Below are 14,942 nucleotides of genomic sequence, written 5' to 3' on the forward strand. Positions count from 1 at the left end.
ATAGTCCCAGCTACTCCAGAGGCTAAGGCACGAGAATCACTTGAACCCAGGAGGTGGAGGTTGCAGTTAGCTGAAATTGCGCCACTGCACTCCAGTTTGGGTGACAAAGCAAGACTCTCTCTCAAAAAAAAAAAAAAAAAAAAAAAAAAGGAATGTATTTCATCTACTTTTCCACTGAACTTAAGGCAGTCAGTTCAATTCATTTACACTACACCCCCTGTTGCTCTGTAAAGCAATAGACAGCAACCATTTGACATTCAAAATGCATCTCAGAATCCTAGTCATCTCACTCTCCCTGCTCCATTGATTTGATGTCCTCTTCTTTACTTTCTATGTTCATATCTATCCCCCACTTCCTTTAAAGGACCCTTCCAGAAAAGCCATTATATTGATTCTCCCTAAAGTTTTCACCTTGCACAATTGGTGTGGTCAGAATAGTTCATCCCTCCAGATTTATATTTCTCTCCAAACAGTTGTATAAAAGGGTGTAATCCAAATAGTGTTACTGAGAAGACAGAGTTAGTATTTTAAAAATATCTTAAAACAGCCTGGCATGGTGGCTGATGCCTGTAATCCCAGCACTTTGGAACACTGAGGCAGGATGATCGCTTGAGCCCAGGAGCACCAGACCAGGCTGGGCACATGTTGAAACCCTGTCTCTACAAAAAATTTGAAAAATTAGCCAAGCATGGTCGTGCATGCTTGTGGTCCCAGTTACTCAAGAGACTGAGGTAAAAGGACTGCTTGAGCCCAGAAGGTCAGATTGCAGTGAACCGTGATCGCACCACTGTACTGCAGCCTAGGTGACACAGTAAGACCCTGTCTCAAAAAAGAAAATCTTAAAACAGTGGATGGTTCCTATTAGGCATGCAATAAATGTTGGTGTTATCATTTTTAATATTAGTATTATTATTATCATCATCCAGATTAAAATAGAAACTTTTGGGATCATCCAATTCTATTTCTATTAATTCCAGGTTCCTCAAGCCTATCTTATCATTGCCTGGGTGGATTTATTAACTAGGTAGAGTCTTCAGACAAGCTTAATGTCTAACACCCTGCCAGAGAGCATTGTTGGTGTTCTAGCAACTGCAGCCTGGTTGTCAATCTTTTGGGAGTTGGTTGGTGTGACTTCTGCCTTCTCTCCAGAGCTGATCACATGTGGATTAAGTGAAAGAAAGTCAAGTAGCTGATCTTCGAAAACTCTCTAGTCCCCAATTTTTGCTGCATTGAAGTTTGCTAACTTACACTTTGCAGTTAGTAAGGGGAAAGTCACTCCCCTTATTTCAATTTCATGACAATCAGAATTGCTTCTGTTTTCTTTCTCCCTACAAACAACTGTCAAGTAGTACTTTCTACAAAAGTTTAAATGAGAAACAAGAAAAACACGAATTTTGGAAATTATAGAGAAAAGCAGTGTAGCTCTTTTGCCTTTCTTTTACTTTCCTTTGTTTGTGTTACTTCATCATGAATTAGAATATAATGTGGTAGCAGCAAGACAAACTGCCCAGTAAACCACTATGTTAAAAAGGTGTTCTAAAAATTCATTTGTTGTTGAGCTTTAAATTTAAAATGAAGAATCACAAATCAGTAAAGGAAAGATGGCTATGACTATTTAATGTGATAGCATGGGGCTCACTGCCCTGCACCGTCAAAGTTTCATGTAGACAGAGATGTAAGAAACTTCAACAGATCACACTGAACTAGTGAACAACTGAGGGTCGCCAGTTTCTGTAATATGAGCCTCTAAAGAGAGGCAGCAGCATCTTTGACTCTCCTGTGCATAGCTCATAAATTTTAAGCATAAAAACTGTTAATAGTTTAAAAGAATTAAAGATAGCAAAAGAGTTAAAGAAAGAATAAAAGCTGTACTTGGTGAAATAAAAATTATTTAACTACTGAAGATAAAATGATTACAATTGGATAATTCCTTTACCTACTTAGACAAAACAAACCTTTGTTATCAGCGTTCTAGGGCTGTTGAGACTTTGATACCTAGGGCATGGGTCAGAAGAAGAGGAGGTCACCACTGACAGCATATACTCCTTCACCCAAATATTCTAGGAGCAAGGACAAAGGTCACAAAGGATTTATTGTTTTGGCAACAAAGAAGCAAGAACCTCCCTGGAAAAGGAGTTCTAAAGTCATCAGGATGTGGTGAGCCTGCATTTAGGGAGTGACTTGATGTGATAAATACCTTGTGAATCATCACTGCTGAGGAAATAACATTATTTTAAGATTAAAATTTCCACACCCATATGCATCTTAAAAAAGAAAAAAAAACAAACCAACAGAATTTCTTTTAGGGGTATTGGCGCAGCCTGAGGAGTGCTATATTTCTCCAGTAAGAAAATAATGCAAAAAAGGCAATGTTCATTGATCTAAGCTTGAGCCCCCAGGGAAGCATAACCACATGAACCTGAATGAATATATTCTAGAAGGAGGGAAGCACCAGAGAAGTTCTTTCACTAATAACCATCAACGTCTTCTGTGAATCAAATATCAAACAAAGATAGTCCTAAAAAGTTTAATTTCCAGAGATAGGTAATTTCCTAACTGAATACAGAAACCCATAGGGCCCAGGGATCCTGATTTCCTATGCAAAATGGAGGGTAAAACTGGAGGCTAGGATCTGGGCTAAAAGTATATACTTCTAACAGTAGCACAAAGATGTTTCTCATCTGATTGATCAATATTCATTTGGATTGATATATCTTAAGTTTACTGGGAATATTGAACATCCATTGCAAAAATCAAGAGTGTAGAGTGATGACCTCCTTTTAGGTCATATAGAACAAGGTTTTTCAACCCCCATCCATGGACCGGGGTACTGGTCCTGGCCTGGTAGGAACAGGGCCGCACAGCAGGAGGCAAGCAGGCCAACCAACAAGCATTAACGCCTGAGCTCTGCCTCCTGTCAGATCAGCAGTGGCATTGGATTCTCAAAAGAGCAGGAACCCTATTGTGAAGTGCAGATGCGAAGGATCTAGGTTGTGGTCTCCTAATGAGAATCTAATGCCTCTGAAAGCATTCCCTCCCTGACCCCATTTTTCGTGGAAAAATTATCTTCCACCAAACTGGTGGCCAAAAGGTTGTGGATGCTGATATAGAAGACATGTAAATGAAAACAATAAATGGAATTAAAAATTTAGAGAAATGCTCAGAAAAATGAAAACTATTTGTGCTCCATTAAAGCCATGCATAGATAGAATGTCTTCATAGAACCTAGGATCCAAGGTTCTATGAAGACCTCAGCTCAACCAGGCCAAAAGCATCCTGATTTCTCAATGGCCCTCCTCTTCCCTCTACTGGCAGCCCTAGAGGTGTGCAGCTGTGGCTCTTCTGGATCTCTAGGATATAACCTGCCTCAGAACCATGGCCTGCTAGGCAGGAACACCTTGGTGCTTTTGGGCCAAATGAGGAGAATCTCTCCCTTCTTGTGTCTAAAGGACAGAAGTGACTTCAGATTCCCCCAGGAGAAGGTGGAAGTCAGCCAGTTGCAGAAGGCCCAGGCTATGTCTTTCCTCTATGATGTGTTACAGCAGGTCTTCAACTTCTCACACAAAGCGCTCCTCTGCTGCATGGAACATGACCTTCCTGGACCAACTCCACACTTTACGTCATCAGCAGCTGGAACACCTGGAGACCTGCTTGGTGCAGGAGATGGGAGAAGGAGAAGCTGGGGGCAGTGGGTGATTGAGGGCTCTACACTGGCCTTGAGGAGGTATTTCCAGGAATCCATCTCTACCTGAAAGAGAAGAAATAAAGATTGTGCCTGGGAAGTTGTCAGAGTGGAAATCATGAGATCCTTTTCATCCACAAGTTTGCAAGAAAGATTGAGAAGTAAGGATGAAGACCTGGGCTCATCATGAAATGATTCTCATTGACTAATCTGCCATATCACACTTGTACATGTGACTTTGGATATTCAAAAAGCTCATTTCTGTTTCATCAGAAATTATTGAATTAGTTTTAGCAAATACTTTATTAATAGCATAAAGCAAGTTTATGTCAAAAACATTCAGCTCCTGGGGCATCCGTAACTCAGAGATAACTGCCCTGATGCTGTTTATTTATCTTCCTTCTTTTTTTTCATGCCTTGTATTTATGATATTTATATATTTTATATTTTCATCTTCACATCGTATTAAAATTTATAAAACATTCACTTTTTCATATTAAGTTTGCATTTTGTTTTATTAAATTCATATCAAAGAAAACTCTGTAAATGTTTCTATTCTAAAAACAATGTCTACTTTCTCTTTTTGTAAACCAAATTGAAAATATGGTAAAATGTATTAACTCATTCATTTCATTCCTATTATATGTATAAATTGAGTAAATGGCAAACTGTGGGGTTTTCTTAAAGAAATACAGGTGAATAAAGCAAACACAGTTTCTCTCAGTCTAAGAGGGAAAGAGACGTAAAAACAGGACAAATATTTATATTATTTCAATTATGTTAAATGCTACAAAGAGAAGTAAAGAAAAGTGATGTTCTCACATCAGAAGCTTTAGGTATAAATGGTGCTTGGAAGGAAAAAATATTAGATATCCTTCCTAAGGTGCATGGGAGATATGTAAGTACACGTCTTATTGGCAGGTGGGAATTATGTGTCTAGAATGCCATGGGGGAAGGTGTTAATTTGGGGTTCTTTATTTTATGTCTGATTATCGGGGTACGGGAATGGATGTAGTCACATAAATAGAGGGGAGAATGTGATGAGGACATAAACTTTATCCTGCAGACCCTCAGCAGTTAAAGGAAGGGCTGAAGAGTAGAGTCTGCAAAACGCCCTGAGGCTGATAGCCAGTGCAGTTAGAAGACAAAATAGGGAAGAATCAGGGAAAGACTAATCAGGAAAGGATGGTGGTACTTTCAGGGAAGGAAGACCAAACTATCCTAGTGAATCTGAAAACAGAAGTCACTGGTGACCTTGACCAATGATGGAATATATGGTTTAGTAGAATTAATGGAACAGAATTAATGGAACATTCCTTCTGAAACTATTCCAATCAATAGAAAAAGAGGGAATCCCCCCTAACTCATTTTATGAGGCCAGCATCATCCTGATACTAAAGCCTGGCAGAGACGCAACAAGAAGAGAATTTTAGACCAATATCCCTGATGAACATCGATGCAAAAATCCTCAATAAAATACTGGCAAACTGAATCCAGCAGCACATCAAAAAGCTTATCCACCAAGATCAAGTTGGCTTCACCCCTGGGATGCAAGGCTGGTTCAACATATGCAAATCAATAAACGTAATCCATCACATAAACAGAACCAAAGACAAAACCACATGATTATCTCAATAAATGCAGAAAAGGCCTTCGACAAAATTCAACAGGCTTTCATGTGAAAAACTCTCAATAAACTAGCTATTGATGGAACGTATCTCAAAATAATAAGAGCTATTTATGACAAACCCACAGCCAATATCTTACTGAATGGGCAAAAACTGGAAGCATTCCCTGTGAAAACTGGCACAAGACAGGGATGCCCTCTCTCACCACTCCTATCAACACAGTATTGGAAGTTCTGGCCAGGGAAATCAGGCAAAAGAAAGAAATAAAGGGTATTCAATAAGGAAAAGAGGAAGTCGAATTGTCCCTGTTTGCAGATGACATGACTGTATATTTAGAAAACCCTATTGTCTCAGCCCAAAATCTCCTTAAGCTGATAAGCAACTTCAGCAAAGTCTCAGGATACAAAATCAATGTGCAAAAATCACAAGCATTCTTATACACCAATAACAGACAAACAGAGAGCCAAATCATGAGTGAACTCCCATTCACAGTTGCTACAAAGAGAGTAAAATACATAGGAATCCAACTTACAAGGGATGTGAAGGACCTCTTCAAGGAGAACTACAAACCACTGTTCAATGAAATAAAAGAGGACACAAACAAATAGAAGAACATTCCATGCTTGTGGGTAGGAAGAATCAATATCGTGAAAATGGCCATACTGCCCAAGGTAATTTATAGATTCAATGCCATCCCCATCAAGCTACCAATGACTTTCTTCACAGAATTGGAAAAAACTACTTTAAAGTTCATATGGAACCAAAAAAGAGCCTGCATTGCCAAGACACTCCTAAGCCAAAAGAACAAAGCTGGAGTCATCACGCTACCTGACTTCAAACTATACTACAAAGATACAGTAACCAAAACAGCACGGTACTGGTACCAAAACACAGATATAGACCAATGGAACAGAACAGAGGCCTCAGAAATAACACCACACATCTACAACCATCTGATCTTTGACAAACCTGACAAAAGCAAGAAATGGGGAAAGGATTCCTTATTTAATAAATGGTTCTGGGAAAACTGGCTAGCCCTATGTAGAAAGCTGAAACTGGATCCCTTCCTTACACCTTATACAAAAATTAATTCAAGACGGATTAAAGACTTAAATGTTAGACCTAAAACCATAAAAACCCTAGAAGAAAACCTAGGCAATACCATTCAGGACATAGGCATGGGCAAAGACTTCATGACTAAAACACCAAAAGCAATGGCAACAAAAGCCAAAATAGACAAATGGGATCTAATTAAACTAAAGAGCTTCTGCACAGCAAAAGAAACTACCACCAGAGTGAACAGGCAACCTACAGAATGGGAGAAAAATTTTGCAATATACCCATCTGACAAAGGGCTAATATCCAGAATCTATGAAGAACTTAAACAAATTTGCAAGAAAAAATCAAACAAACCCATCAAAAAGTGGGCAAAGGATATGAACAGACACTTTTCAAAAGAAGACATTTATGCAGCCAACAGACACATGAAAAAATGCTCATCATCACTGGCCATCAGAGAAATGCAAATCAAAACCACAATGAGATACCATCTCACACCAGTTAGAATGGCGATCATTAAAAAGTCAGGAAACAACAGGTGCTGGAGAGGATGTGGAGAAATAGGAATGCTTTTACACTGTTGGTGGGAATTTAAACTAGTTCAACCATTGTGGAAGACAGTGTGGCAATTCCTCAAGAATCTAGAACTAGAAATACCATTTGACCCAGTGATCCCATTACTGGGTATATACCCAAAGGATTATAAATCATGCTCCTATAAAGACACATGCACATGTATGTTTATTGCGGCACTATTCACAATAGCAAAGACTTGGAATCAACCCAAATGTCCATCAATGATAGACTGCATTAAGAAAATGTGGCACATATATACCACGGAATACTATGCAGCCATAAAAAACAATGAGTTCATGTCCTTTGTAGCGACATGGATGAAGCTGGAAATCATCACTCTAAGCAAACTGTCACAAGGACAGAAAACCAAACACCGCATGTTCTCACTCATAGGTGGAAATTGACCAGTGAGAACACTTAGACACAGGGTGGGGTACATTACACACCAGGGCCTGTTGTGGGGTGGGGGAATGGGGGAGGGATGGCATTAGGAGAAATACCTAATGTAAATGACGAGTTAATGGGTGCAGCAAACCAACATGGCACATGTATACATATGTAACAAACCTGCACGTTGTGCACATGTACCCTAGAACTTAAATTATAATAAAATAAATAAATTTTTAAAATGCCTCTGTGATTTTGATAGGGATTGCCTTAGATCTGTAGATCACTTTGGAGAACATGAAGATCTTAACAATGTTAAGTCTTCCAATACATGATGGATATAAATAAATGTCTTACCATTTATTTTTGTCATCTTTAATTTTTTCAGCAGTATTTGATAGTTTCCAGTGGATATGTCTTTCACCTCCTCGGTTAATTTTATTCCTGAATATTTTATGCTTTTTGATGCCATTGTAAATGAGAGTATTTTCTTAATTTCCTATTAGGATTATTCATTGTTAGTATATAGAAATACGACTGATTTTTGTTTGTTGATTTTGTATCCTGAAACTTTGCTCTATTCATTTATAAGTTATCACTCTGTGTGTGTGTGTGTGTGTGTGTGTGTGATCTTTAGAATTTTTTACATATAAGACTATGTCCTCTGCCAACAGAAATCATTTTATTTCCTCCTTTATAATTTGGATGCTTATTATTTGTTTTTGTTGCCTAATGACTCTGGCTAGGACTTCAAATACTATGGATAAGTAGAAGTGATGAGAATGGCATCCTTACCTTTTTCCTGAGCTTAGAGGAAAACCTTTTAGGTTTTCACTATTGAGTATGATGTTAATGGAGGGATTTTCATATAATAGCCCTTATCATGTTGAGGTAATTTCCTTCTATTCCTAGTTTATTGATCCTATTTTTAAATCATGAAAGGACACTGAATTTTGTCAAATGGTTTTTCACCATCAGTTGAGGTGATCATGCTTTTCCCCCCTTCATTCTGTTTATTTAGTTTCTTACATTGATTTCTATATGTTGAACCATGTAGCCATGGTGTATAATCCTTTTAATACGCTGTTGAATTTTGTTTGCAAGTATTTTGCTGAGGGTTTTTGCCTCCATATAGACTCATAAAATTAGTTTGGAAGTGTTCTCTCCTCTATAATCTTATGGAAGAATTTGAGAAGGATCATGCTAATTCTTTTTTGGATGTTTGGTAAAATTCTCCAGTGAAGCCATTTGGTCCTGGGCTTTTCTTTTTTCAGAGGCTTTAATTATTGATTCAGTCTCCTTATAGTTCTATTGTGATTTTTTATTTCTTTGTGATTCAGTCTTGGTAAGTGGTGTTTCTAGGAATTCATCCATTTTTTCTAGGTTATAAAATTTGTTGGAGTATACGTGTTCATAGTTGTCTCTTATGATCTTTTTTTATTTCTGTGGCATCAGTTGTAGTGTCTCCTCTTGTGTTTCTTATTTTTGTTTTATGAGTCTTCTCTCTCTCTTTTTAAAATAATCCTAGTAAGGGTCTGTCAATTTGTTGAACTTTTTTTAAAAAAACCGACTCTTAGTTTCAGTGATTTTTAAAAATTGCTCTTCTATTCTCTATTTTATTTATCTTTGCTCCAGTTTTATTATTTCCTTTCTTCTGCTAGATTTGGGTTTTGTTTGTACTTTTCTTTAGTTACTTAAGGTGCAAAGTTCTATTGTTGACTTGAACTCTTTCTTCTTTTTTTAGTGTCAGCTTTTACAGCTGTAAATTTCCCACTTAGCACTGTTTTCACTGTATTGCATGGGTTTTGGTATATTTTCTTTTAATTTTCATTTATTAAAGATTTTCTAATTTCTATTGTGTTCCTTCTTAAATTCTAGTCTCATTTAGACACACATTGTTTTCTTTTTGTTTTCATGCATTGGGATATGAAATCAGACCACTTTTATTTTCTGGGAAAATGAAATGAGAAAGAAAGACACCGGGTGTTGCCCAACACTATCTAGAAACAATGTACATTTCATTTGTTTTCATCATATTTACATTCCTTTATTGACATAAGCTGAAAATGAAAATGAAAAAAGTCCAGGAATGGCAAAACAAATTTGCACAGTACAATATCACATGAAAAGGGAATATACATATGACCCCAACTTGTTTCCTAGTTCACTTGGTCCAACAATCTGAGTGAACAAGGGAAAAACATTTCATTCCCAGTGTTTGACAGACTAAGAAAAATAGCTTTGGCAGAATTATCCTGCATTCGAAAGATATGATGATTAGGTTGAACTCTAAAATCCAATAAAAATGTGTTGACTGTATTAACTAATAAAAGTTCTTAATTTTGCAAAATATATTTTTAGAAAGAAAGCTCATTTACTATGGAAACTCTGGTCTCAATTTCAAAACTTTGAGCATTTTAATTGTTTAACAATATAAAGAGTTAAATCATTAAAAATAATGAATACTAAAATTTACTTGGTTTATTTAAAAAACGGCTCCCTTCTGGTCTCTACCCTCATATAGACATGTTGATTTTATCATGGTATCATCTAAATGTCATCAAATGACATGAAACCTAGGTTTCTGAGTGATGGAAAATGAATTTACAGCTCACACACACACTCTGGGAAGTCGGCCTCACTTGACAAAGGCAAGAAAGGTGGAAAAATGATGATTTTGAGACACAGAACTACTACCTTCAAAAAGTAGTGTGTCTAATTACTGTGAGCTGTGTGAATCAGGGAGAGTTAGTTTAGACATGTGGCTCTATACATGACACCAGGCTGGTTAATTTCTATTATAAAAAAGTAGAGGGCAAACTAGAGATGAAGTCATAATATAGTTTAACATAGTACTATGCAAAAGCTGAAAATTATGTTGCTCTTGCATTTGAATTCCCAGCCATATATTTCTTAAAGGAACTAGATATCTAGCACATTTGGCAATTAACTCTATAAGCATTATCGACACTCAGTAAGAGAAGAGTGGAAATATTAGCCATTGTCTATTATAATCCTAGCAAATATGGCCTTAATGAAGGAAAATAATGTGGTCACTTATGAACACCTTTTAGTATGAGGAGGAAATCTGAGAAATTGCTTTAGTAAAAATTATTTATTGAGTACATTAGACTTGGTGCTGAGGATAATGCAGTCAATAAGACAGAGTCCAGTTACTAAAGAGCTGATTTGCCAAAGGTGGTCCCATAAATACCATACAAAGAGAAAGAATCTAGAGGACTGAGGCAGCTTAACTTCCTATGCAAAAATAAAAAAGTAAAACCAAGGCTCAGGATTAGAGCTATAAATTAATACTTCACACATGATACAGTTTGGATGTGTTCCCATCCAAATCTCATGTTGAATTGTAATCCCCAGTGTTGGATGTGGGACCTAGTGGGAGGTGATTGGATTATTGGGGCTGATTTCACATTAATAGTTTAGCACCATCCTCTCAGTGCTGTCCTCACAATAATAAGTGACTTCTCACGAGATTTAGTCACTTAAAAGTGTGCAGCACCTCCCCACTCACTCACTCTCCTGCTCTGGCCATGTGATGTGCCTGCTCCCGCTTCCCTTTTGGCCATAATCGTAAGTTTCCTGAGGCCTCCCCAGAAGCTGAGCAGACACCATCATGCTTCCTGTACAGCCTGCAGAATCATGAGCCAATTAAATCTTATTTCTTTATAAATTATCCAGTTGTGGGTATTTCTTCATAGTAGTGTGAAAACGTCCTCATACTACATGATAATATTCAGTATTTATCCAGTTATAAGTTTAGGACAAATATGTGTTTTTGTTTTTGTTTAATAGAGTCAACTTGGTCTGGAATCTGTATTAGTGTATTTTTACACTGCTGATAAAGATACCCGAGACTGGGTAATTTACAAAAGAAAGAGGTTTAATGGACTTACACTTCCAAGTGGCTGGGGAGGCCTCATGATCGTGGCAGAAGACAAGGAGGAGCAAGTCACATCTTACATGGATGGCAGCAGGCAGAGGGAGAGAGCTTGTGCAGGGAAACTCCACCTTATAAAGCCATCAGATCTCATGAGACTTATCCACTATCATGAGAACAGCATGGGAAAGACCTGCCCCCATGATTCAGTTACCTCCTACTGGGTCCCTCTCACAACATGTGGGAATTCTGGATGAGATTTGAGTGGGGACACAGCCAAACTATATCAGAATCTATAAACCCCCCTTATAAAACTATGAGACTTATTCACTATCAAGAGAACAGCACAGGAAAGACCCGCCCCCCATGATTCGATTACCTCCCACCAGTTCTCTCTCAAAACACATGGGAATTGTGGGAGCTACAATTCAAGATGAGATTTGGATGGAGACACAGCCAAACCATTTCACCTTATTTATCTTTTTTGATCTTTGTTGGCTTAAAGTCCATTTTGTCTGAAATTAAAATAGCAACCCCTGCTTTTTTCTGTTTTCTGTTTGCTTGGTAGATTTTTCTTCAGCCCTTATTTTGAGCATACAGATGGCATTCGAGATGGGTCTCTTGAAGAGACCCTACCATTGGGTCTTGCTTCTTTATCCAACTTGCCATAATGTGCCTTTTAAGTGGGGCATTTAGCCCATTTGCTTTCAAGGTTCATATTAATATATGTGGATTTCACCCTGTCATCATGCTATTAATTGATTAGAAAGCAGGCTTGTTTGTGCATTGCTTTATAGTGTCACTGGTCTGTGTGCTTAAGTGTGCTTTTGTAGTGGCTGGCGATGTTTTTTTCCTTTCCATATTTGGCATTCTTTTCAGGACCTCTTGTAAGGCAGGTCTGGTAGTAACAAATTCCCTTGGCATTTGCTTGTCTGAAAAGAATTTTATTTCTCTTTCACTTATGAAGCCTAGTTTGGCTGGATATGAAATTCTTGGTTGGAATTTTTTTTTCTTTAGAAATGCTACCTAAAGGTCCCTCATCTCTTCTCATTTGCAGAATTTCTGTGGAAAGGTCCACTGTTAGCCTTATGTGGTTCCCTTTGTAGATGACCTGCCCCTTCTCTCTAGCTGCCTTTCACATTTTTCTTTCATTTTGACCTTGGAGAATCTGATGATTATATATCTTGAGGATGGTGTGTAATATCTCGTGGGGGTTCTCTGTAATTCATGAATTTGAATGTTGGCCTCTCTAAGTGAGGTCGAGGAAGTTTTCATGGATGATATTCTGAAACATGTTTTCCAAGTTGATTGCTTTTTCCCTGTTTCTTTCAGGGATGCCAACGAGTTATAGATTTCATCTCTTGCCATAATCCCATATTTCTTGGAGGTTTTGTTTGTTCTTTTTTATTCATTTTTCTTTATTTTTGTCTGACTGAGTTATTTAGGAGAGGCAGTCTTTGAGCTCTGAGATTCTTTCCTCAGCTTGGAACTAGTGCAGTTGTTTGAAAGAAAAAAAGGAACTCTGGCTTTTTTGCTGGTTCTTTCTTGTGCTGGTTCTTTCTCATTTGTGTGGGCTGATGTTCCTTCAATCTTTGAAGTTTCTGTCCTTTTGATGGATATTTTCTTTTTTTCTTTGATGCCCTTGGGGGTTTGATTATGGTATAAGTTGGGTTTAGTTGACAGGCTTCAATATTAGTCTGCTCCTGGGTCTTGGAGGAGCCCCCCCGATTACTGCCTACATGCCTGTGCTTCTTTTTTTGGGTGTTTTGATCCGCAGGACTCCCTTAGGCAGGGCCACCATTGGCAGATATGCTGTATCCATGCCAGGTCAGCCCTAATCTGCTGTCTGTGTGCTTTCTGGGGAAACACAGGGTTACACCTGTCCACAGAGTTCAGGTGGAAGTGGGACCGCTGGGTTGGAAGTTCTAGCAGGTGTGGGCCATCTGGCTATGAGAGGTGGGGGTTGGTGGGGCTACCCTCCCTGTCATGCAGGTGTTTCCGGGGCAACAGGAACCTGTGCCGCTTTGCAAATTCAGGCAGAAATAGGACCACCAATCTAGAAGTTCTAGTGGACATGGCTTATCTGGGCTACCAGTGGCAAGGGTGGATGGGAATGCCTGCCCTGCTGTCTAGATGCTTCCTGGGAAAACAGGAGGCTGCACCCACTGTTTAAGTTCCCACAGAATTAGGAACACTGGGTCAGAAGCTCTGGCAGCTGTTGACAGCCTGAGTGCCAGTGGCCAGGGTGGGTGGGGTCACATGCTCTGTTCTCCTGGTGTTTTACTTGTTTTGCTTATAAAGGGAAATGTTCATTAAGATTCTACCTTTAGCTGGGTGTGGTGGCTCATGCCTGTAATCCCAGTACTTTGGGAGGCCAAGGCAGGAGGATCCCTTGAGCCTAGGAGTTTGAGATAAGCTTGGGCAACATGGCCAAATTCCTTCTCTACAAAAAATAGAAAAGGCATGGTGTACACCTGTAGTCCCAGCTACTTGAGAGGCTAAGATGGGAAGATCATCTGAGCCTGGGGAGGCTGAGGCTGCAGTGAGCTGTGATTGTGCCACTCCACTCCAGCCTGGGCAACACAGCAAGATCCTGTCTTAAAAAAAAAAAAAAGAAAAAAAAAGATTCTACCTTGAAGCTGTTTTCCTGGAATGCATCTAAATGGGAGAGTCCAGTTTGAACCAGTAGAGGGCAGAATAACATTTAGCATTCATCACTGGAATGTGTTTGCACATGAGGTGTATCAACAGTAAGGAAACAAAATAACTCTAGATATTCATGTGTCTTAGTAAGTACATTTGGTTAATTAACATAAGGCCATGTTATGTTCATCATTAATGAACCCAGCCAAGACTTTTTTTTTTAACCAACACTCAACTGCTTAAATGCCTTGCTCATCAAAGAGACACCAGAGAACAAAGCTAAGTTATAAAAAATAAGGATGGAAAAGCTTCCAAATATCCCTTAAAAAACAATTATATTGGAAGGTCTAATGGGGTCAGATTAGATAATAAATAACAATCTAGAACTAGTATTAGGCTAATATCACTGATTTTATGCTTACCTTTTAAAACTTTATTCTGTGTTATTTATTTATTCTAGATTCCCATAAATATATTTACCACTTAAACTGAAAGACCCATAGAAGACATTTTTAAAAATTATTTCCACACTAGTTTTTCCAATTGATAAGGTGATCAGTAACATAGATTTTTGATCCAACTACTGGGAACAATTTAAAACAATCTGTTCATCAATATTGAATAAGAAAAATAAACTATCATCTCAAATATTTTGATGAGATATTTGCAAAGAAATTATATTCAGTCATAATTTCTAAGACTTCAAATTAATGAGAAACAGATATGTGCAAATGAGATCAGGCATGTTTCTTTTTAAACAAGTGAAATTATAAACAAAAATATTCTTCTAAAAAATTAGGTAAAAGGCAGCAATGTCTACTTTCCCCTGAAATATTTAATATTGTGGTGAAATAATAACAATGTAAAACATTATGAAACAAGCAAGAGGAATTAAAGTTATAACATGAAGACAATTTGGTCATGTAGGGTAAAAATAAGGCTCCTTTTGTTCCCTCTTAATGAACATCACATCATAAATCTAGCCACTCTTGTATCCTCCTATTACCATAAATTGGTTTTTGAAGTTTCTGAACTTTCTATAAATGAAAACACATTTTAGTTTTTCTTT

General features: G+C 37.9%; 1 long non-coding RNA gene and 1 pseudogene across 4 annotated transcripts in view, besides 1 other annotated feature; one reads left to right on the plus strand and one right to left on the minus strand.

Annotated features, from left to right (window-relative positions):
- Window positions 1-2,071: 2,071 nt before the first annotated feature.
- Window positions 2,072-14,942, minus strand: part of MIR31HG (MIR31 host gene) — a 105,531-nt gene continuing 92,660 nt past the window's right edge. For all 4 annotated transcript variants that reach the window (NR_152878.1, NR_152877.1, NR_152879.1 and 1 more), the window contains one exon: window positions 2,072-3,748. This is a non-coding gene — a long non-coding RNA (MIR31 host gene). The remainder of the gene's footprint in view (window positions 3,749-14,942) is intronic.
- Window positions 3,243-3,872, plus strand: IFNWP19 (interferon omega 1 pseudogene 19; annotated as a pseudogene).
- Window positions 13,917-13,996: a silencer, noted in NCBI's record as "silent region_19807". NCBI's record gives its function as "represses an Ori minimal core promoter by ATAC-STARR-seq in GM12878 lymphoblastoid cells {active_cell/tissue: GM12878}" and the evidence as "EXISTENCE:reporter gene assay evidence [ECO:0000049][PMID:35858748]".

This window comes from Homo sapiens, chromosome 9 (genome assembly GCF_000001405.40).
Source record: "Homo sapiens chromosome 9, GRCh38.p14 Primary Assembly".
Classification (NCBI taxonomy): Eukaryota; Metazoa; Chordata; class Mammalia; order Primates; family Hominidae; genus Homo; species Homo sapiens.